The following is a 23,875-nucleotide window of genomic DNA, read 5'->3' on the forward strand; positions in this document are numbered from 1 at the left end:
GGTTCTTAACCCCAACCATTTTACTTTTTGTGTTCTTTTTCAAGATTGTTTCACCTATTCTAGGTTCTTTTATTTCCACATAATTTTTGAAATCAGCTTGACAATTTCTACCACAAAAAACCCAGCCTACTAGGATTTAAAATTGAATTACATTGATTTCATTGATCTATTTGGGGAACACTGATATCTACCAAATTGAGTTTTCCAGGCTATAAACTTGGTGTATCTTTTTATTTATTTCATGTCTTTAATTTCTCTCAACAGTGTTTCAGAGATTTCAGTGTATTGGTCTTGCACAACTTTTGTTAAATTTATTTCTGATTAATGTGTGTTTGGGGTATGATTGCAAATTCTTTTCTTAGGTTTCAATTATATTTTGCTAGTATATGCAATATAACTGATTTTTAATATAGGTTTCTGCCCACAAAGATGCTAAATCAAGTTTTGCATCTTTCTAAGATCCCGAGGGACCTCCACTTACATAATCATGTCATCAGTCAATAATGATAATTTAACTTTCATTTTTATAATTATTTACTTTTATATCTTTCTCTTGACTTATTTTACTGGCTAAGACATCCACCAAAACATTGACTAGAAATGCTAAAGGCAAACATCTTCATTTATGTCTCGGTGTTATTTGTAGTCAATATTCCCCTACGTTCAATGTTAATTGGACATTGTTTTCATAGATCCCTTTATTAGTTTAGAGAAGTTACTTTATATTCCTAGTTCAGTGAGGTCATTAGTTTGAATTACTGTGTTAAATTTTGACAAATTATTTTTGCCTTTATTAAGATAACCATATCAGTTCTTCATCTATTCATATGGAGTATCACATTCGTTGCTTTTCTATCTTAAAACAATCTTTCATTTATGAAATAAACCTCACTTGGTCAAGATGAATTACTTTTTAATATATCACTAAAATAAATCTGCTATATTTTGTTATAGATTTTCTTTCAACTACATTCATAGGAAAGTGGGTGTATATATGTGTATAGATATGTATATATATACATACATATATACATGTATATATGTGTATAGATATGTATATATATACATACATATATACATGTATATATGTGTATAGATATGTATATATATACATACATATATACATGTATATATGCATACACATATACGTATATATGTATACGTATATGTGTGTGTGTGTATATATATATATAATGTATTTTGCTTCTCTGGTTTTGGTGGTGTCTTAGAAAGCTTTGAAATGATTTATCTTTTATTTTCTGAGAGTACATGTGTAGAATTAGTTTCATTCTTCTTTAAAAGTTTGGCAGCACTCGCCAATAAAGCCATCTGGGCTTGGGGTTTTCTTTCTGAAAATGTTTTAAATTAAAAATTCAATTCATTTCATTGATATACAGCTACTAAGATTTTCCTTTTCTTGTTTTACTTTTGGTAAGCCATCTTTTTGAAGGATTTGTCCATTTTATGTAAGGTGCCAAACTCATTGCCCTAAAGTGTTCTATAATATTCCACAGTTTTTTAAACACATATAGAATTCGTCATCATATCTTATCTTTATTACTGATATTGGTAATAGGTCTTTTTCTTTGTTTTTATCTTGACCAGTCTTGCTATAATATGTTCACTAAAAAATTAACTCAATACTTTCTGCCATTCTTGTTCCATCCTTCAAAATTTTCTACCTTCCAAGCCATTGTTACAATCTCTTTTGAAATTATATTAAATTTTAATTAACATTTCCAGTGAAAATATGCAAACACTTGAAGTAGCAGGTAGGTGTCTGCATCTGACATATATGATGGATGACTCAAACATATATATCTGCACTGGCTAATTTTTGGCATTTGTCACAAGCTTAGTATTCTATAATAAAGCACTAGAACACTAGTAAATTATCTCCCTGTCTTTGACAACTTAAAATTTCACTGAAAAAAAAGTTTTATTTAAATACAAACTAATTTGAATATGAAATGTTTAATTATTTATAGATTCAAATGAAATTCATTTTTCTATTTTCTAATATAGGACAAAAATAAAGACCATCCAAATAAAATCAAAATTTGGACCATACTGTAATGCTCAAGAAAAATTGTCACCGTATGCCAATTAGTTTATAGTTATGGTATAATTATAGAGGAAAAATATTTTCATCAAGAGATTTCATGAAATACTGAAATAATAATCTTGATGAATAATATGAAATATTTTTAACAATATAGAATTCAATAAATTGAAATGTATTTTGCAAATTGTATCCTGGTTTACATAAAATTTTTGCACTGAGCTATCAAATAAAAAATTACAGAGCCAATCAAAAGGAAGGGAACTTTTTTTACAAATAACAATACCAAGTCACTATTTATACTTCATTAAATGTATATTTTTTTTCCCAAAAGGTGGGCTACAAATAACACACCTATCAGAATGGCTAAACTTTGTTTTTTAAATTAATAACACCAAATATTGGTGAGGACATGTAGAAACTAAATCAATCACATGTTGCTGGTGGAAATGTAAAATGGTACAGCCACTCTGAAAAACAACTTGGTTACTTTTAACACTAATAAAGACTTCTCATAGTAACCAGCAACTATATTTCAGAGATATATCACAGAAAAATAAAAAAAAACTTACAAAACTTGTACACAAATGTCCATAGCAGCTTTACTTATAATAGAAAAAAAATGGAAACTATCCAGTATGCGTTTCAATGGGTGAATGGTTAAACTGTGCTACATTCGCACCATGAACCACTACTCAGCAGTAAAAAAGAACTATTGATACATGCAACAACTTGCATGTACCTAAAGGAAATGATACTCAGTGAAAACAATATAAAAATGCCAATTTCAAAGAAATACATATATAACAATTTTTATATAACATTTGTGAAATAACATAATTATAGAAATAAACAACATATTCATGGTTTGAAGAGTTAGGGATGGAGAGGGTAAATGGGTGTGCTTATAAAAGAGTAGCAGGAGAGAATCATATGGTAAGGCACACAGGTTACTATCTTCATTGTGGTAAGGGATAGAAGAAGGTATACATTTTATAAAATTTCACAGAGCTATAAACGTGGACATACTATGGATTATACCAGCATCAATATGCTGGTTTTTATATAGTACCGTATCTGACATAAGATGTTAGTGGTGGGGAAGTCGAGTAAATGGTGCATACACCTCCATGTGCACCCTTCTGTGAAATCGTAATTATTTCAAAATTAATTATAATCATAAAGCAATTTCCATAAATTGGAGTATATTTTTGTTGACTTCTGTGAATCAAAGATAGACAATCTTTCAAAATTCTTTTAGAGATTTCTGAAGTAGACAAAAAGTTTTTAAGACAAAGTTTTATTAACGTAAGGTATACCTCATGTAAGTGACGAGTTAATGGGTGCAGCACACCAACATGGCACATGTATACATATGTAACAAACCTGCACATTGTGCACATGTACCCTAAAACTTAAAGTATAACAAAAAATAAAATAAAATATACTAATATGCCCTAAAAAACATTGAGAATAAAAAAAATTACTTCAAATTTAATGTCTTAAAACAACAGAAATGTATTCTTTCATACTTCCGGAGACCAAAGAATCCAAATTAAGTTACAGTCAACCAAAATCAAGGCGTTACCAGGGTGGTATTTTCTCGGGAGGCTCTAGGGGAGAACATGAACCTTGCCTTCTCCAGTTTCTGGTGGCTGCTGGCATTCCTCAATTTGTGGCCTCATTACTCCATTCTCTGTTTCTGTAGTCAGATTGCCTACTTCCTTCTACTTCAGTCTAACATCCCTCTCCATCTTTCCTATAAGGATGCTTGTCATGGCATGTAGGGCCCATCTGGATCTTCCGAAATCATATCTTCATCTCAATACTATATCTGCAAAGACTTTTCTTCCAAATTAGGTAACATTTATAGATGTCAGGAAGTAGGAACTGGACACATCTTTAGGAGGCATATACTATTATTTAAACTAATTTATACTATGTTTTCTAAAAATATTAATTTAAAGGCACTGAATATGTTTTATTTGTTCATACATCCTTATACAATGTTGTTTGATCTTTTATAGTTATTTGTTGTAGTAGGCTGTTTTCCCTTCTTTTAAATCTGGGTTAACTTTGGTTTGCTTTGACCAGAAGGTAGCAGCAGTGAAACTATGCAAGTTCCAAGGCTATAGAAGCTTGGCAGTTTCTGCTTTCCCTCTTTTGGAAGCTAGGCACCATGTAAAACGTCTGCTTCTCCTGCTAGAAACCCCACATGGAAAGAGGGAGAGAAAGGGAGAGAAAGGGGGGAGGGGCGGAGGGGGAGAGAGAGAGAGAGAGAGAGAGAGAAATAGTCTCAAGCAACCATCATCTGAAGTGAAGCTCCAGGCATAAGAACAAAGGTATTGATATTCCAGCCCTAGCTGAACAGCCAGGTAACACACCAATTAGAGCAAATGAACCACCCAAATGAGCCCAACCACCCCACAGAAGAATGATTTTAAAAAGTCATTATTTTAAGACACTATGTTGTAGAATGGTTTGTTGTGTAGCAATAGATATCTGAAACATTTGTCTATGGATAAGATTACTTATGTATTGGATTTAACTAAAATTATACAAACTGTACTGAAATTTAAAATATTGTCCAATAACCTGTTCACAATGTGGCTAGATCTATGTAGAGGATATGTGGTTTAGGTTTTTAAATACACACAGTGATTTCATAGGTATTAGAATAGAAATAGGTATTAACTTTCAAAGCCACATTTAGTCAATCATATGTAAAGCTGCATAAAGTCAATTTCATGCTTAAGGCATCTTGGATATCGTAAGTGAAACAGGAATTATCATTGCAAAATCTGCAGACATCAAAATGACCATGAGAGAATACTAACAAAAACTCTACACACATAAATTTAGTAACTGAGGTGTAACCAATCAGTTCCTTAAAAAACACAAACTACCACAACTTAGCCAATAAGAAATAGAACATTTAATAGCTATATAACTAATAAATAAGTTGAATGCATAATTTTAAAACTGTCACAAAAGAAATCTCACTGGAAAATTCCACCAAACATTTAAAGAAGAATTAACATCAATTCTACACAATCTCTTCAGGCAATAGAAGATGATAGAATAATTTGTATTTCATTTTATGAAAGCAGTATTACTCAGGTACCAAAACCAGGCAAAGATCATAGTAAAAAATAAAAAACTACAGATCAATATTCCTAATGAATATAGACACAAAATTCCTTTACACAGTGTTAGAAAACAGAATTCAGTGATGTATAAAAAGAATTATATTCCATGATCAAGTAGGGTTTATTCTAAGTATTCAAGGTTGGTTCAATATTCAAAAATCAATATGTGATATACAATAATGACAGGCTAAAGGAAAAATCACATGACTATATCTACTGATGCAGGAAAGACAAAATTCAATGTCCATTTATGATCAAAAATGTCAAAAATTAGGAACAGAAGGAAACTTTCTCAACTTGATCAACAGCATCTACAAAAAATTTACAGTTGATATTATATTTACTGGTGAAAGACTAAATGCTTTTCCTTCAGGATAAGAAGCAAGATAAAAACGTCCACTCTCACACTCTTATTCAACATAGTATTGGAAGTTCTAAGTAGTGGCATAAGGCAAGAAAAAGAAAATACAGTCAGCCCTTAGTGTCCAAGGGACATTGTTGAAGGACCTCCCACAAATACCAAAATTCTCAGATGCTCAAGTCCCACATTCATCTGTGGGTCCTGCATCCCACAAGTACTATATTCACATCTGCATTTGGTTGAATCTGTGGATGCACAACCTAAGGACACAGAAGCCTAACTGTATAAGTCACATAAATCAAGAAACAAGAAAAGTCAAGTTACAAATTTATGTATAAGTCACATAAATCAAGAAAGAAGAACAGCCAAGTTACAAAAGATTTCCATCACATAAGGATTCCCTGTGTTGGCCTTTTTTAACTACAACCACTGTGCTCCAGTCCCCAGGCTCTCCTTAACTCCTGGCAACCTCTAATCTGTTCTCCATACTTATTTTTTGGTCATTTCAAGAATGTTATATGAATGTAATAATACAGTATTCAATTTTTTTGCAGATATTTTGATTGTCTATATTATAAATTCTAATGAATCTACAAAAATACCTTCTAGAGTAATAGTCCAAAAAAGTCACAGAATACACGGTAAACATACACAAATCATTTACAGTTCCATATGTTACCAATAAACAAGTGAACACAGAAATTAAAAATGCAATAGCATTTACAATCATTAAACTGACATAATTACACGAAAATGTAACAAAACCTGGATGGTACATTTTTGCTGAAAACTACAAAGTGCTGATAAAGTAAATGAAAGAAGATCTAAATGTATGGGAAGACATGCCATGTTCATGGATTAGAAAACTCAACATAAGAAAGATGTCAAATTTCCCTAAATTGATATATGGTTAAATGAATTCCTATCAAAATATCAGTGACATTTTTCTACAAAGAAGATTATTTCAAAATTTATATGAACAGGCAAAAAATTAGAGGAGCTACAACAATTTTAAACAGAAGAATGAAGTGGGAGGAATGATTCTATCGAATTTTGTGACTTATTATATAGCTACAGTAATGAAGTCTATGTGAGGTTGGTGAAAGGATAGACAAAAATGAATGTAACAGAAGAGGCTACCCAGAAAGAAGTGCACACAATATGCCTAACTAATTTTTGATAAAAGTACCAAAGCAATTTCAATGGAGAAAAAAATAGCTCTTTCAACAAATTGTTCGGGAAATAATTGGACATCCCTAGGCAAAAGTATAACCCTGAACCTAAATCTCATATCTTATACAAAAATTAATTCAAAATGAATTACAAACTTAAGTGGAAAATATAAAACTTTAAGAAACAAGTCATCAGATTAAATCTTTGAGATCTAGGGTTAACCAAAGAGCTCTTAGACATGACAAAAGCAGGATTCAGAAACACAAAAATTGATAAACTAGGCCCCAAAATTTGAAACTTTTGCTATGAGAAAGAATCTATTAAGAGGATGGAAAAAAAAAAGCTTAAAAATGGGAGAATATATTTGAAGGTCACAAATGACTGGTGTTTAGGATATATAAAGAACTCTTAAAACTCGACCGTTGCCAGGCGCGGTGGCTCACGCCTGTAATCCCAGCACTTTGGGAGGCCCAGACGGGTGGATCATGAGGTCAGGAGATTGAGACCATCCTGGCTAACACGGTGAAACCCTGTCTATACTAAAAATACAAAAATTAGCCGGGCGTGGTGGCGGGTACCTGTAGTCCAAGCTACTTGGGAGGCTGAGGCAGGAGAATGGTGTGAACCAGGGAGGCAGAGCTTGCAGTGAGCTGAGATCGCGCCACTGAACTCCAGCCTGGGCCACAGAGGGAGACTCCGTCTCGAAAAAAAACAAAAAACAAAAAAAAACTCGACCATTATAAATAAAATAAGAAAACAGGTAGAGATATTTCAATGAATATTATATATGAATGACAAAGAAGCACAAGAACTGAGGCTCGATATTATTAGCCATTAGGTAAATGCAAATATAAAATACTATGAGATGTTGCTATATTCCTATCAGAATGGCCAAAATATAGTGACAACCAAATTCTGGCAAGGATGCAGAGAAAATGGATCATTTATTCATTACTGGTGAGAATGTAAAATTGTACAAACACTCTGGAAAAGTTCGACTGTTCATTTAAAAACTAAACACACTGCTACCACATAACCGAGCAAGTGTTCTCATTTATCCCAGATAAATGAAAATTTATGTTCCAGAAAAGCCTATGCAGGAATGTCCATAGCAGTTTTATTTACATTAACCCTAAACTAGAAATAATCCAGATGTCATTCAATGGGTAAATAGTTATAAATTCTGGCACATCCATACCATTAACTACTATTTAGCAAAAACTACCAATATACATGACTTAGATGAATCTACAGAAAATTATGCTGAGTGAAAAAACATCAATTCAAATACATTGAATACTGTATGATTACATTTATATAATATTCTTGCAATGACCAAAAAATAAATATGGAGAACAGAGTAGAGATTGCCAGGAGTTAAGGAGAGCCTGGGGACTGGAGTGAAGTGGTTGTGGTTATAAAAGGCCAACACAGTTAATCCTTATGTAATGGAACTCTTTTGTAACTTAACTGTATCAATGTCAATATTCTGATTAGGAAGGTTTAATATAGTTATTACAAAATGTTATATTTGCAGGAAATTTGTCAAGAGCTCACAAGAACTCTCTGTGTTATTTCTTACCAACTACATGGGACTCAACACCCATCTCAAAATTAAGACTTTTTTTAATACCCTAAAATTATGCCTTTTTTGCTAGTATAATTAAATAACTTTATTGAATCAAGTACTAAATATGCTTCTCCAATATAATTTTATTTCTAAAACTCTTGAAAGAGGAAGCTTTCTTGTAAATTCAGAAACAACAACAAAAATCAGGGGGTCGTCAAAATACTCATTGACTTTTGTACCTTACTAATTCCATGGCATGTGATGAATGAATAAAACTCTACCAAAGGTGTTTATTTGCCTCTGTCTTTACTTTAAAATATTTTATATATTTATATTTTGAATACAAAATACTGTAATAAGATATTAAAGGGCAAAGAGTAAAGAAACATATATATATATATATATATATATATCTTCCTACCCTTTCTCCCTAGAATATACTGTACCATCTGTACCTCCCAATAAGTAACCAAAATCTTCAATAAATATTTTCTGTATATTCAAGCATATATATATGTGTGTATACACACTTAAACACTCTATATATATTCAAGCTAATATGTGTTTTCTCCCCACCAGCCCCCAATCTGCTTCTTTTTACACAACTATTACTATGTGCATAATTCTACCTCTTAGTTTTTCACTCTAATAAATTCTTCAAAACTCTTGATCTCAATGTAATAGCTTCATTTAAAAAACTACTGTATGATATTCCTTGGTATGGTATACCATATATTTAGATCATCACTGATAATTTGCTACTACAATGTTCCAACAAATTATTTTGTATATCTTGCATCTCCATATCTGTAGAATAAATTCCTAGAACTGGAACAGCTTGATCAAAAGGTATGAGCTTTTATAATTTTGATAAATATTACCAAATAGCCCTTGATAAAAATTGTGTCCATTTGCACTACCACCAGCAATGCATGAGAGTGCCCGCTTTCTTCTACTGTCTTCTGTATAACAAATAATCTCTTTGATCTTTGCCAATCTGATAGGTGAAAAAGTTCCCAAAGTATGCATTCTATTTAAAAATAAAAGTCAATTCATCTTATGTGAAAAGATACCTTAGCACATTAATCACAAGGAAATAAAGTGACCTTCAAGGCTGAACACAACTTACAGCTCTGCCCTGTGTCAAGTGATACTCTGCATTTGAAATTGCCCTATATCCCAGTTTATTTTTAGGGCTTGTTGTTCACAGAAAAAGAGATGATCATTACTGGTCAAAGTTAATATTTAAGCAGATAAATACATCAAAAATTGTTTAGTAAAGACAGCCAGAAGAGTGGTATGATAAGCAAAGTAGAAATAAATCTAATGATTCCTGCTATGTAACCTTGAATGTTGTTCATGCATCCAACTATGCCTGTAGATTTTTATTAATACTATCTGCTGAGAAACCATTTCAAAATCTACTCTGCACAGCTGCATAAGAATATACTAATATATCCTATCATGCATATGTATGTAGTAATAAAGAATTAACATACTCTTCCACAAGGTGAGAGGTCCATTGAGAAGTGAAAGAAAAGTTTTTAGGAGCTTTTGATAGCCACCAAGCTCTCTTTTGGGTCTGCTATTCTAAGTCAATGATTCAATTTCCTAGATGATATAATCCCAGAGTTAAAAAGAATGCAAATATCTTACCTATTCATATACAAATTATATTTTATGACAAGAGAAGCATATTTACAATTTCAACTATGATCACTGGGTAAGGTAGTAACTATGAATACGGACTTTAGAGTTTAGTAACTATTCTGACTTATTTTAAATGTTTCAGTAGGTGACAAGGAAGGCATCTCATCTGATTATTGGCATCTCTCATAACTGTTATCCAGTTTTAAGATTCTGCATTATTTCATATTTATTCAGTGATAGAGTACTGATCTCCTAGAAACATATAAAAATAACTTTCTTAATTCGATTAAAATACTACATCTCGAGTTAACTATATTAGAATTATAAAATAATTTTTCAATCAACTATATAATGTGCAATCAGAAAAAAGAAAAGCTTATCAACAGTAAAAGATTATCTTTCTTTAAAAATCCTATTAATTCCTGTCATCCTAAAAAAAAACACAAACTGAAAGCTTTATTTAGAGAAAAATGGTTAATAAATTCCATTTTAAATTTGTTGGGATATGTTTTACCACAACAAATACACATGGATCATTGATGATTCCATAGAAAAGGCAACAACACATAAAAATAAAATCGCCTGATTTTGATGGTCAAATATCTTGAATTTAATATGAGAGAAAAAAATACATACTGTTTGTTAGTCCAAACTGCACCATGTTGTAAGCTCCCTGCTATTTTGCAGACCTTGGTGAAAGCGAAACATTTCACAGGGGTTCGAGCTGTGAGAAACATCCCGTCTAACCAACTGACCACGAGTTGGACAAAGGCCTAACTAAAGAGACATCCCTATCATATCTTGCTGGACAAAGGTCCAAGGAACACCCTGAACAACAGAACGACATCGCGCCGGAACAAGAGCCAGAACCGCCTCTTCATGGAAGCATCTTATTAATATCCCGCGGAGCAGCAAGCCATACTGCTCAGACCCCTTCTGCCCGTACCTATAAATGGCCCCAGCCTGTAAGCGGCAGCGGGCTCCGGCATTAGGCTGGTCCTCCACTTCTGTAGGATTTATGCTGGACAGAAAGCCTGAATTTGCTGTTGAGCCGCCCTCTTTCCGTGTGTGTGTGTGTGTGTGTGTGTGTCTTTAACCCTCGCCTTCCCTTCAAAACCTAACACTGTTCAAAGAAGATTTAGTCCATCATTAAGTATTTATTAAGAACGTACAAGTCAAGCCCAGTACTGGGCGCCTAAGACATAAATAGGTCTGTGTTTCAGCAATGATCTTGCAGAAATGAGGTTGGGTGGGTGAGGGGCTTGTTGGGGCTGTGTCTGCACATAATAATTCCTCAAAACAAACACTTTGTTGCTGGCACAGCAGAAAAGCAATCAGGCATTGACAGGTAGAAAATAGCTTTTACAGCATGGGCGATGAGGAGCCCCAAAGCAGCATATAAAGCAAATCCTTCATTTCTCCCATACGTCTTAAGTAGTGAACCGCAAGGATGGTGCAGACTAAGATTGGGTCTACCTATAAGATCTGGAGGGGAAAACGGCAAGACCAGAAGAAACCGTCGCAGACTTATTTGCATAAGCACCCAAACACTGCTTACGTCACTGCGCCGGAGTCCGGACCCCGCCCCGTCTTACTCCAGCCTTTCCCAGCTAGGGAGGAGGATGGAAAGGGAAAGCGGGACGCTGGAGAGCGCGAGCCTGGGGGCTTTGCTTCCTAAAACGCACATCAAAGGCTGCTTCTCAGCTCAGGAAAAATAATTCCCGTTCCCGCAGCCTGTGCCACTGGGTGGGTCATGCCTGTTCCCGAACGCCTCGGGCGTCTTGATTCATTCTTATGTATCCAGTTGGTGCGCTACGTTAGAGTGCAAGGATTTCCCTGTACTCAATACCGTCTTCTTCCCAGTCACACACAGACCAGCCTAGTGAAAGAAAGGTAGAAACGATCTGGGTTTCTAACTGCTTCCCATCTTCTTACAGTCCCAGCAGCACCACCCTCACCGCCACACTCTCAAATTCCAGGATGCGCAGAAACACAGGAGCCGTGATTTCTCCAGCAGCCACGTGCCTTTCGTACGGCGAAAGGCCCCCTTTCGGGCCATTTATCACAGGATACCTCAAGCAAAGGGGAACTGTGGTCACGTGAAAACACTCTGTCCTCGGTAGTCGCCTTCTGCCTTTGCTAAAGCGAACGGAAGCGAATGAGGAATAAAGCTCTCTGCTCTCCCCGCCCCATCGCCCACCTGCACGAGGTTTAGCTTCCAATTCACCTCGCGTCTCTCTCTGCCCCAACCCTCCCAACTTTCCTCTTGGACTTTCCCGTGTTGGACCCCACCCTTCAACCAACCCCGACTTGGCTTGGAAACGAGTAGGTCTCTGGGGATGCTGTGGGCAATTTCCACGACGGGAAGAAAGGATGGCGGCACGTTTCAACCCATGTGCTTCCCCTTACATGTGCAGCCTGTCGCCCCCCACCCTGATTGTACAGAGATGCAGAGTTAGACGGTTGCCCGCCCAGCCCAGCTTCTCCCTCCCAGGGCTTTTGAGCTGCCCTCCCTCCTCCCACCCCAGGACGCAGCGAGTCCTTCCCGGCATCCATCCATCAATTCGTTCCCGGTGCTGGTGCCCAGGCTCCTGGGTGGCTAATGGCGAGCCCCACCTCACCCCCAGTTGTGCCCTTAGCGTAGGCGCTTGCCATTACCGTCAGTGTGTCTTGACCAAGCGCCTCTTGCTGCTTCCACGTCCGGGCAGCAGCAGCAGCAGTCGCGAAAGGGTAGGGTCCAGGTGGCTGTGACGGAGGCCGAAGAGGAGCTGTTGGCAGAGAAGCAGCTTCTTGCCTAGGTTGGGACCCGGAGCTGGGTTTTGGGGGTCGCCGCCCTGCAGGCTGGCAAGGAGAGACTCGTGAGCGCCTGTGTGTCTGCCAGGGAAACAGCACGGGATACAGGCGCGCGGGTGCGGGTGCGCGTGTACATGCGTATGTGTGTGTGCGCGCGCGCGTGTGTGTATGTGTGAGGGTGTGACGGAGGCGCCCACGTGCTCGGCCCGCCCGTGTTACGGCCGCCTACCGGCTGCAGAGGAGAAGGGTAGGCTGTGGGCGGCGGCGGGGCGCGGAGGGGTAGCCAGGAGCGCAGGCTGGGCTCCGCACCTCCCTGCCCCAAAACCCATTGATGCAGCGGCCACTGCGGCTGCCGAGCGGCGTCTTCCCAGAGCCCGGGGCTGTGCCCGCCCGATGCAGGATGCAACTGAGGAAGCCCGCTCCAAAGCAAAACAAAACAAATTCCTCCAGCCATGCCGTCTTTCTCCAACCCACTCAAGCGAAAGAATGGACACCAGTTACCAGCCGCTGACTTTTGTCTCAGTGAGAATAATAATAGGCATGGTGCTACCTGGCACCATCTGAATATTCTCCAAGAGTCAGTAATGGGACTAGAAAAAATGGGTGACCCAAAGAACCCTTTTCCCTACCTATTCCCCCAAGCCGGCCATTTACATCTCTTGCGAAAGAAAAAGCCTCTGGGCATTGGCTTCTCCGTCAGGCGGTGGCCTCATAGCGCTCAGTGATTCTCGCCAGGTTATGAAAGGCCGTTTTAGAAAGCTGGCCCTCACCCACCCTGTGTTGGTGCCTCAGCAGCAGACTTTTTTCCAAGGGGTCTCATTACAAGATGAAGCCTGACTTACCTCTGCTAACAATCAAGGCATGCTCGTAATTAAGCCACGTGGAGAATTCCTAAAATATACACCTCTGAACACAAAGCTTAGCCTCCTTTTGAAAATGGCTGAACCGTCCCCTAAACAGTGCGTATGCTCTAAGGATGAAATTTTCCGTCCTTGAAACGTTCAAAATTTGAAAGAAATACAAAATGAACCTAGAAGCTAGGTAGAAAGGTTCAGTAATTTAGCAAAGTTAATTTTTCACTTCCAGATTATTAATATTACTCTTAAAAACTACTTTTGTGCACTTTTAGGCCTTTTAACAATCCCTTAGATTTTTACGGTTCGTATCCAATTAAGATTGAATTAAATTAAAAAGGCCATTGCAAACAGGTTTTTCATGCAGTGAAAAATCTCTTGGAAAGAAATCACAAGACCTAAATTTCAGGTCAGAACATTGCTACTAATCCTTAGCTTTTAAAACAGCCAAGAGAGTTTTTTCTCAGCCTCTCTTCCAATCCCAACTTTGAAAAATTAAAAGTTAAGAAATTAAATTAGATTTGATTCCCTGATACGCCTCCCCTGCCATGAGTAAATAAATGCTCTTTGATAGATGCGCCACGTGAAAAAATAAAAACAGTCAAAATAAACCTTTTATAGGACTTTTTTTGCTTTTTACTTCACATTTTGGTGACAGGCAAATATTTAATGTTGATATATAAAGAAACTGAAATACAGTACCAACATTATCAATAACAACTGAGAAAATTTTAGGAAAATAAGGAGAGCTGTGTCCACCATGATCAGGATTAGGATTATCTGTGGGAAACAAAGTTATCCATATGCTGGCAGAAATCGTTTACGGTAGTACCAAGAAGTACGAAAATTATTTCTCTCCCACGCTTTTTCACTAGTGTCTGATACCTAATTCCAATACATATGCATAGGTCACAAAATATTTGTAGAGCGATGCCCTCCATAATGACTGATACTAATTTATGTCTCAATGCCAATGAAGAGAAGTAGGAGAAAGCAACTATTGTTTTAAGCTTCCCACTAAGTACCTGGGGCTTAATAATATCTTATTTAATCCTCTCAACTAATTAATGAGGTGATTTTTCCTAATTTAGAGATTAGAGAGAGGTGATACTCAAAAAAAATTGCAAAAAGTCAGAAAACTTGTTCAATGACAGAATGGAGAAATAAATTCAGATATGCTGGCCTCAAACTTCATGTGCTTTTATACTATCCTGTAACCCTTTAACAAATTATCTATTTTAACAGGAGGAAAGGGTGGAATCTCAACACAAGTGGTAGGCAACTTTGAAAACAATAAATAGATGAAGAATGGAGAGACCTCAAAAGGAGAGTCTGGGAACCCTAGCCAAAGGTAAAATGTATTCATTTTTAAAATTTAACAACAATGAGTCTTCAAAGATTTAAAATTCAATTGCTAATATATTTTAGGGTAATGATTACAGAGTTCTTTCTCTGTCACCATAGGGCAAAATGGCCAACATGGGATTGGTGTGGGAGGAAGAGGCAGCACACAGAAAGGAAAAAAACAGAACTTGGAAGAATTAACTACAAGTTAAGGGAGACTAGTGCTTCCAGCCACACTGTATTTAATAATATTAACAAGGATTGATTAATGTTAACTATGTGTCTTTGCAATGTACAGAATAATTTCTATATTTTATGAATATATACTTCTTAATTCTTACACCAAGCCTGTGATGTAGGTCTAGTTTTTACAAAACATTGCCAGAAAAGAAACTGAAGCTTTGATTGTCCAAGGTCATACCGTCAAAAGGCATCTGTTAGATATTGTAAAAATAAAAACCTGCCCTATCTAAATCACTTTCTGAAATTGATACCTACTTTTAAGCAATTAATGTTACACTTATTATTTTTAAAATTTGATAAAAGATCACATGAAGGAAAAGAGTATTCTCTTTGACTAGAGGAGAGAAGGAATCTGACTCACCAAGCCTTTCTACCTTATTTCTTAAACCAAATCCTTTAGAATAACAATATTATGTAAAAACTTCCAAAGATGTAGCACTAGAGTTCAGAAAAATAATTCAAACATTTACTAAAAGATGATTTTAAAACTACAATACTAAAGAAAAACATTGAAATCAATTCACATCCTAAGATTACATTAATTCATTTGCTTATATTGCTATATGGGCAGTAGAGTATATTGTGAGGATTTTTTTTTTGCATTTTAATAAAACTTTTTATTCTAACGTCCTCCATGCCAAATGTCATTTGATATATGGTCTCCAAATTTTTATGAAAACAAAGTCTGCACAAGCCCAAAATATCCACTGAATATTCTGTTCTATTCATACTACTGATGAAGAACTGAGAGGTAGATGCAAGGAAAGTAGGTTCTCTGATTTCTCAGTGGGTAGAGGATGGGTTAACTGAATTGGCAAATGTCAAAGTAATCAAATCAATTTTTTAACTAATTGACTAAGATAGTAAAGCAATCAAGACAATGTAGGAAATGATTGAATTTTACTGTTTCTGCACTTTGAAGATAAAGCCTAAATGGCCCTGGCGAGTAAAAATACCAACACAAGCTGTCATTTTTTTGACAGAGAAATGCACCCCCTACCTCTGTAAACTGATTATAACCACTAAGTTTTTAAGTTGCCCTTTTATTATAATGTTTAATATAATAGCAAACTATGTCTCTAAAACATTTTATGTGTGTCAGGTACTATGCTCAGCATTAGTCTATATAGCTACTTAAATATCCGAAACCAAAATATTTAATGGTATTTGTTTTGTATAAAGTATATGAGGTGCCTTTTATTTGCTGCACAATCTCATTGGTATATACAGATTCTATAGGCTCCATGATTTTTATACGTACTTCTAAAATATAATTTGAATACAAAAGTGATACTTGCTCATTGAATACATTTCAATCTATGAACTTGTACATGGTGAAAAGACCCCTGTGTTTATGTTCCCCTGACTTTGAGGAGGGTCCCAGGAAAGAGGGTAGAGTTAGATTTTAAATAGAGTGGTCAGGGTAGGTCTCATTGAGATTTTACTGGTGCAAGGACACGAAGGATTTGCAGGAGTTAGCCTTGTAGATATAAGGAGATAGGAGTAAGTTCCAGGTAGAGGTCAGTGAAAAGGGTCTTTTCAGTCAGTTTAAAAAGATTGTAGGATCAGTGAATAGACCCTAAAAAAAGAATTTAACTGATATGTTTGAGGAAGAGAAAGAAGACCCAGATATTGCAAATATGTCTTACTCCGTAGAGACAAGCTTATGGTTTTTACAATTTAATTTATTTTATAAAATTCATATTCATAGATTTTCTGTTATTGAACCATGCTTGCATCCCTGGAATAAATCCTACTTGATTATGAGATACTATTCTTCTTTATATAAATTGATGGACCCAATTTTTTCATATTTTTATAGAGTTTTTCATCTATACACATAAATGTATTTGATAAGTGATTTATATTCTCCTTATAAGGTTATTCTAGCACTGTAAAATGAGATCCAAAGCTTACACTTCTAGTCTCTCAAATACCCTTTTATGATATAGACATTGTTTCTTACTCACCTGAGAAATCAAGGAAAGTAGGAAAGTGGTAAGATAAAGATTTCTTATTTATGCTTTTTTTTTTTTCTTTTGAGACAGGGCCTGGCTCTGTCATCCAGACTGGAATGCAGTGTTGGAGTCACAGCTCACTGCAGCCTCAACCTCTCAGGCTCAAGTGAACCTCCCACCCCAGCTTCCCAGGTAGCCGAGACTACAGGTGCATGCCACCATGCCCAGTTAATTTTTTCATGTTTATTTATTATTATTTATTATTATTATTTTTTGAGACAGAGTCTCGTTCTGTCACCCAGGCTAGAGTGCAGTGACGCGATCTCGGCTCACTGTAACCTTCGCCTCCCGGGTTCATGCAGTTCTCCTGCCTCAGCCTCCCGAGTAGCTGGGATTACACATCACCATGCCTGACTAATTTTTTTGTATTTTCAGTAGAGACGGGGTTTCACTATATTGCCCAGACTGGTCTCAAACTCCTGACCTCATGATCTGCCTGCCTCGGCCTCCCAAAGTGCTGGGATTACAGGTGTGAGCCACCGCACCCGGCCTAATATTTATTTTTCTAGAGACAGGGTCTCACCATGTTGCCCAGGTTGGTCTTCAACTCCTGTGCTCAAGCAATCCTTCCATCTTGGCCTCTAAATATACCAAGATTACAGTTGTGAACCACAGTACCCAGCAATATGTTTTATTATTTATTGAGTTTTTCTATTGGTCTATTCAAGTTAACTAGTTCTTCTCGAGTAAATGAGTAAATGTTGGCAATTCATTTCTTTTAAAGTGTTCATTTCACCTAATTTTTAAAAGTGCTTCAATAATTTTTGTACTATTTTCTTTTGAATTTTAAATCCTAGATTACATTTATAGATATATGAACTTCTCCATAGGTTTTGTTTCAACCTTTTCTTCATATCTCTTTCAATCTGTTAAATGCTAAACATTATCTATGAGTCTTTTCAAAGAAACAACTATTGATATTATTGGTGTTATAATTTTTTATTTTCTGTAAATTTCTTTTCTTGTGTTATTTATATATTTCTCCTACTTTCTTTGAGTTCAGTCTTTTCCTAGGTTTTGAATTTGAACAAATATAGTACATTTTAATTTCTACATTGCTTCAAGGTTATAATTTATTTTATAAGCATAGCTTTAGCTGCAACCTAAACATTTTGGTTATATAATACTTTAAGTGTTCATTTAAAATAATTTCAGGAGCCTCTCTGAACCTATTCTGGCTTGAAGAGGCCGCCCTAAAAATAATAACCATAATTTCAATTCTTATTTGCTTAATTTATGAGCATATTTTAAACTTTTTTACTGTTTATTACTTATAGTTACATTTAAGTCATAAAACTTAATATTTGTGATATCAATTCTGTTGGATTTGTTGAGACATTCTTTGTGGCCTAGTACTTGTTCACTTTCATTTACATTATCTATGTTGTTTTCCAGAGTATGTATGTTTTATTTGTTAAATCCAGCTTATTAATTGTGGATTTCAAATCTTCAAATATGCGGCATAGACCTTTAAGACACATATGATTGCATAATCCTATTCCAACTGGATTTAGTTTTTTATTTGTTTGTTTGTTTTGAAAAGGATTTTTGCTCTTGTTGCCCAGGCTGGAGTGCAATGGCGCGATTTCAGCTCACTGCAACCTTCGCCCCCCGGTTTCAAGCAATTCTCCTGTCTCAGCCTCCTGAGTAGCTGGGATTATGGGCATATGCCACCACACCCGGCTAATTTTGTATTTTCAGTAGAGAAAGGGTTTCACCATGTGGGTCAGGCTGGTTTCGAACTCCTGATCTCAGGTGATCCTCCCGCCTCAGGCTCCCAAAGTGCTGGGATTACAGGCATGAGCCACCATGCCTGGCCTAGATTTAGTTTTTTTAAAAAAATTTTAGATTAAAAAAAAATGTGGGATGTTGGTTTGTTTTCTTTCTTTTTCTTTTTCCTCCTCCTCCTCCTCTTCCTCCTTCTTTGTCTTCCCCTTCCCTTCCTTCTCCATCTACTTCTCCTTCTTCTCCTTCTCCTTATTCTCCTTCTCCTCCTTCTTTGACTTCTATACCTCCCAGGGAAGACTTTGGCTATGTTGGGTCACTTTCCTACACCTGAGCCAACCAAGGTGGCTTCAGAAATGAAGTTCGTTTTTCCATATGATCAGAGTGGCATAAACTTCTCCCAATGAAAGAAAGCACTATTAACAGAAAAACAGCAAAAGGGAAAAAAAATTTTAAACACTCAAAAACATGAACAAATAAAATATCTCCTACACTTCATGTATGAAAATACATTCTACAGGGAGTATAGCTACCTTGGATACTAGGAACTGAAGAGTTTGAGTCATTGAGAAAAAGTTTGATGGTCTAGCATATAATTAAATGGTGATGTTTGGGCCTGGCTTTCTCAGCTGTTGGTGGAATCGTGAGTCATGAGAACTCAAATGAATGAAGAGCATCATCCCTGAGTAATGGTGAACTCTGGCCACCCCCCAGTGTTATTTCTGTATCTCATCCTTCCCCCCTCCCCACCACAAGCAATATAATAGGGGTGGACTAGTCTAATAATTTGGTCACTAGTCTAATAATTTGGAAGTTGGCTTTAGACCTAGAGAATTTGGAATTCTCTAGGTGTACAGGGATTTGGCATGCGTAATTTTATGCGGGTAGTAAATATTTACTCCCCCACCTCCCAAATCTGAATTTGACATATGCTAGAACCTCAGTAGGTAAATGCCCTTGGATTATCAGACCACATTCAGCAGTACAGTAGTCTCCCTTTATCCTGGGAGAATATGTTCTAAGACTTTCCATGGATGCTTGAAATCACGAACAGTACCAAACTGGATTGCCAAACAGTTGGAACATGTTTCTTTTAAGGTCTTTTATCCACAAATTTGATGCCTTTTCCATCTTATCTAAGCACTTATTATGCACTGTGGCTGTAACTTTTGCAGTTTGAAGTGCTATGGCAAAACCAGCACAAGTCTATTTTTTTTCACAATGACACAGATAGAAGAATTATTCTTAATGTAAATCTTAGCAACCTCAGCATACGATTGTTTCTTCTTTTCGTATTGAGAGCTTTCATATTTTTATTTTTATTTTTTAATTACTGAGACAGAATCTCATTCTGTTGCCCAGGCTGGAGTGCCTTGGTTCAATTATAGCTCACTGTAGCCTCAAACTCCTGGGCTCAAGCAATTATTCTGCCTCCGTCTCCTGAATAGCTAGCTGGGACTACAGGCCTGCATCACTACTCACAGCCTCACATTTTACTTAAAGAAAGCACTTTACTCCTTTCCTCTGGCATATCCAAATTGCTAGCGTCACTACTCTTGCACTTTGGGGCCATTATGAAGTCAAATAAGGGTGAATTGAACACAAGCATTGCCATCTCATGATATTCTATCTGATAACCAAGGCTGATACTAAGTGACTAATGGGCAGGTAGTGTCTACAGCATGAAGAATCTGGACAAAGGAATGATTCATGTCCTAGGCAGGATGGTGTGGTACAGAACAAGATTTCATCACACTACTCAGAAGGGAGTGCAATTTAAAACTGATAAAACTGTGGGTAAGGGGAGCCACTGTAGCTGCAACTCTTATTTCTATAAATTAACTTAATTTCTAACTCTGAACTCACATACAATTTATCTGCAAAGAAAAAAAAAAGTATACCTCATTCATTCTTAGGGCCTCCTTGCAATCTCCAAGCATCCTCTGTGCCCCCACCTCACTCCTATATTTTTATATCAAGGATTTTGGGACTTCCTATAGGTCCCAGGCAAAAGAGTTGGTATCATCTGATTATTGGGTTATGTATCTGCAGAGATAATCACTAAGATGTCCACTGTCTTTGCTCATATTATTCCTTCAGGTTCTATGGGGTACCACTCTTCCCATTCCAAGTTTGGGACACAAGACTCTGCTAAGGCAGAGTCTAAGTCTATGCTTAGAATTCCCCCCAACCTACAGTTAAACCTTGCTGATTCCCTGTTGCCTCTTTAGCTTAACAGATGCTAATACTAAGCCAGAAGCTATTAGGGTTTATTAATTGCAAGGCAGTTTGCTTGCTATCAAATAAATACCCATGTATACTTCTTCACAGACCCACATATGCTACCATGTGGCCCTCCCTACTCAACCTCAGTATATCTTTACTGAAAAACACATGCCAAAGAACAACACCCAGAGAGCTGGAAACACTGGAAAAGATTTCGTGATGCCCCCAACTTTACTTTATAGGGAAGGTACGTAAGTAAAATCTCATTATAACATCCTCCACAGGGAATTGTCCAATAATTACAATGACAACATTGTAAATTAATAAAATGGTTATGTTAGTCTCTGTTGCATGAGGAACACAAAAATAAACAAAGGCAAAGTTACTCACTGTTAGAGAATAAGAAATAAAGGAGGGAAGCTTGTCGTAGTGAAAAAGGGGCTATGTCATTCATGGGCTTCAAAGTAAGGGGCAGAAGCGGTTTAAATCAAGATCAAATATCTACATTTGGGTTTCAAATATTGCATTTGTAGCTCCTATAGCTTGAGTTTAGTCCCCCAACTAATACTTCGGTGACATTTCTTAGACTCAGTTTTACCACTGCTATGTAGTCTCTTTCCTAACACTAGAGAGATTGTCAGAATCTCATTTACTACTGGCAGGAAAGCCTTTTAATGTAAGCAGATTCTGGAACCACTTTCAGACTCCTTTCCTTAAAGTCACTTCCCGTAGAACCATTCTTGTATGAACATTTTTATTAGTCCTGGTTTGGTCAGCAAAGCAGAGCCACCATAAATGTTACAGGAATAAGATATTTAACATAGGAAATAGGACTTCAAAAATTTGGCAGGAATTAATGTAGGAGAGTAAAATTCTAGAATGCTACAGCCAGAGAATCAAATATTTACCAACAACTTTAGTTTCAAGCAATGTAGCAAGCTGGTTGTATGACCTCCTGAAAATTGTGGCTTCTATTTCTGTCTTCCAAAATACATGCCAATGTATCTTATTGTCAAGCTCTAAAAACCTACAGGGAAGATGATTCTTTGAAATGCACTGCCCACTACACTAGAAGAAAGTAACGGTAGCAAGAAATTGACAACAGCCAATCCAGTAAAGTATTTCCATCTATAACAGAAATTTTTTTCTCATGAGTGTGTGTTTGTGTGTGTGTGTGTGTTATTTTTGTTAGATGTTGTTATTATGGCAATGCTGATTTTTACAAAATGAATTGGAGATATTTTTTGTTTTACCAAATTGTCGAATAGCATGGATGTATCTTCCTGGAAGTATCTCTTCTTTGCAAGATTGAAATAAATTAGCTTGTAAAGCCATCTGGCCTGGTAGTCTTTGGGAGGTAATTCTTTCACATTTTCTCCAAGATCTTCTAAAAAAAATCTGCCTATTTAGTTTTTTCTTCTTTCTCCACAGCCATTTTGGAAATCTTTTCAGAAATCATTACTTCAAGAATATTATTTTATATTGAAAAAAATCAATTTTTCCTGTAAGCTTGTGTTTAGGTTAGTTCAGGTTGCTGTAACAAATTACCATAGACTAGGTGGCTTAAATAACAATCATTTATTTCTCACAGTTCTGGAGGTTGGGAGTTCAAAAGCAAGATGCTGGCAGGTCTACTGTCTGGTGAGGGACTGCTTCCTGGTTTGCAGATAGCTGACTTTTTGCTGTGTCCTCATATGGCAGAGAGCAAAGACAAGAAAAACGAACTCAAGAATCCCTTTTATAAGGACACTAATCCCATTCACGAGGTATCCACCCTTATGATCTAATTACCTAACTATGGATCAGTCCATGGCAGCTTGTCTCAGACAGCCTTACTGCACCACTATTTACCAAAAAATCTGAGTTCCTTACAACACAACACACATTTATTACTCACTCACATTACATTCCTGCAACTGTAGTTTGCTCAACTCTACTCAGCTCTGCTCCACTTTGCCCCATGTGTCTTCTCATTCTGGAACTTTGCCTGAAGGAGCAAACTTTCTACAGGACACACTTATTCTCTTAGGGAATAAGCGGGAAGGGAGGAACAAGAGGAGAAATCAAACCACACAATTACAAATAGAGCTTCTGTTTAGATGTAGTATGTTTCACATTTTTCAGTTTTCATTGTCCAAAGCAAGTAAAGTACATTTGTGGCTGCTCTTAATCTAGAGACATAGTATGGGGGGAAAGCCAAGTTGTCCAGCCTTCTACTCTTGCCACCAAACCCCACAATATAAATCCAATACTTAATGGCAGAATGGGGACAAGATTAGCTATGATAAGCACTACCATTTAGAGTATTCATTGGTTCATAGCAATTCTTAAGTCTCACTGAGCTAACTTTGTTGAGTGTTCCTACCCTGATCAAGGAAATGTTACTTAGAAGTTATGGTTCTCCTCCCCAGAAGTAGCACACTTGTCTTTTGTTCTCCATGACTCCTGGGTTCCCACTTTCTTTCCATTATTATCTTTGGCCACATCTGAAATGGAGAGTTTTTGTGCCTAAAGTATCTCAGTCTCTCTAACTAGACTGATGGTGTTAGGGCAACAGGAGCCTACGAGAGCCAGAGTAATGCCATTTTAAAATCAACTCCATTTTGAGACTAGCAAAGCACATTCCTTGCCAATCACAACCCATATTCACAGATGCTTACAGCAAAAGAAACAACCTAAGGATACCTGCAAGGACACACTCCTACAA

The 23,875-nt window shown here is 36.6% G+C and overlaps 1 protein-coding gene and 1 long non-coding RNA gene across 8 annotated transcripts in view, besides 3 other annotated features; one reads left to right on the forward strand and one right to left on the reverse strand.

The window, feature by feature from the left end:
- The window catches only part of SLC6A15 (solute carrier family 6 member 15), a 53,309-nt gene extending 40,409 nt beyond the window's left edge, over positions 1-12,900 (reverse strand). For all 4 annotated transcript variants that reach the window (NM_001146335.3, NM_182767.6, XM_011538525.4 and 1 more), the window contains exon 1: positions 12,624-12,900. The gene's annotated coding sequence lies outside the window, so the exon portion shown is untranslated. The remainder of the gene's footprint in view (positions 1-12,623) is intronic.
- Positions 11,470-12,018: an enhancer, noted in NCBI's record as "H3K27ac hESC enhancer chr12:85305148-85305696 (GRCh37/hg19 assembly coordinates)". NCBI's record gives its function as "activates a minimal SCP1, AML or CMV promoter by ChIP-STARR-seq in primed H9 embryonic stem cells {active_cell/tissue: H9 hESC(primed)}" and the evidence as "EXISTENCE:reporter gene assay evidence [ECO:0000049][PMID:30033119]".
- Positions 12,567-13,114: an enhancer, noted in NCBI's record as "H3K27ac hESC enhancer chr12:85306245-85306792 (GRCh37/hg19 assembly coordinates)". NCBI's record gives its function as "activates a minimal SCP1, AML or CMV promoter by ChIP-STARR-seq in naive and primed H9 embryonic stem cells {active_cell/tissue: H9 hESC(naive and primed)}" and the evidence as "EXISTENCE:reporter gene assay evidence [ECO:0000049][PMID:30033119]".
- Positions 12,938-23,875, forward strand: part of LOC102724680 (uncharacterized) — a 79,821-nt gene continuing 68,883 nt past the window's right edge. Inside the window, exons 1-3 of one of the 4 annotated variants that reach the window (XR_945152.3) lie at positions 12,938-13,005; positions 14,858-14,963; positions 21,274-21,415. This is a non-coding gene — a long non-coding RNA (uncharacterized LOC102724680). Of the gene's footprint in view, positions 13,718-14,857; positions 14,964-17,247; positions 17,350-21,273; positions 21,416-23,875 lie in introns of those variants that run through there. The other 3 variants (XR_429164.3, XR_945155.3, XR_945154.3) reach the window with 3 other exon arrangements.
- Positions 13,115-13,661: an enhancer, noted in NCBI's record as "H3K27ac hESC enhancer chr12:85306793-85307339 (GRCh37/hg19 assembly coordinates)". NCBI's record gives its function as "activates a minimal SCP1, AML or CMV promoter by ChIP-STARR-seq in naive and primed H9 embryonic stem cells {active_cell/tissue: H9 hESC(naive and primed)}" and the evidence as "EXISTENCE:reporter gene assay evidence [ECO:0000049][PMID:30033119]".

This window comes from Homo sapiens, chromosome 12, assembly GCF_000001405.40.
Source record: "Homo sapiens chromosome 12, GRCh38.p14 Primary Assembly".
Taxonomy (NCBI): domain Eukaryota; kingdom Metazoa; phylum Chordata; class Mammalia; order Primates; family Hominidae; genus Homo; species Homo sapiens.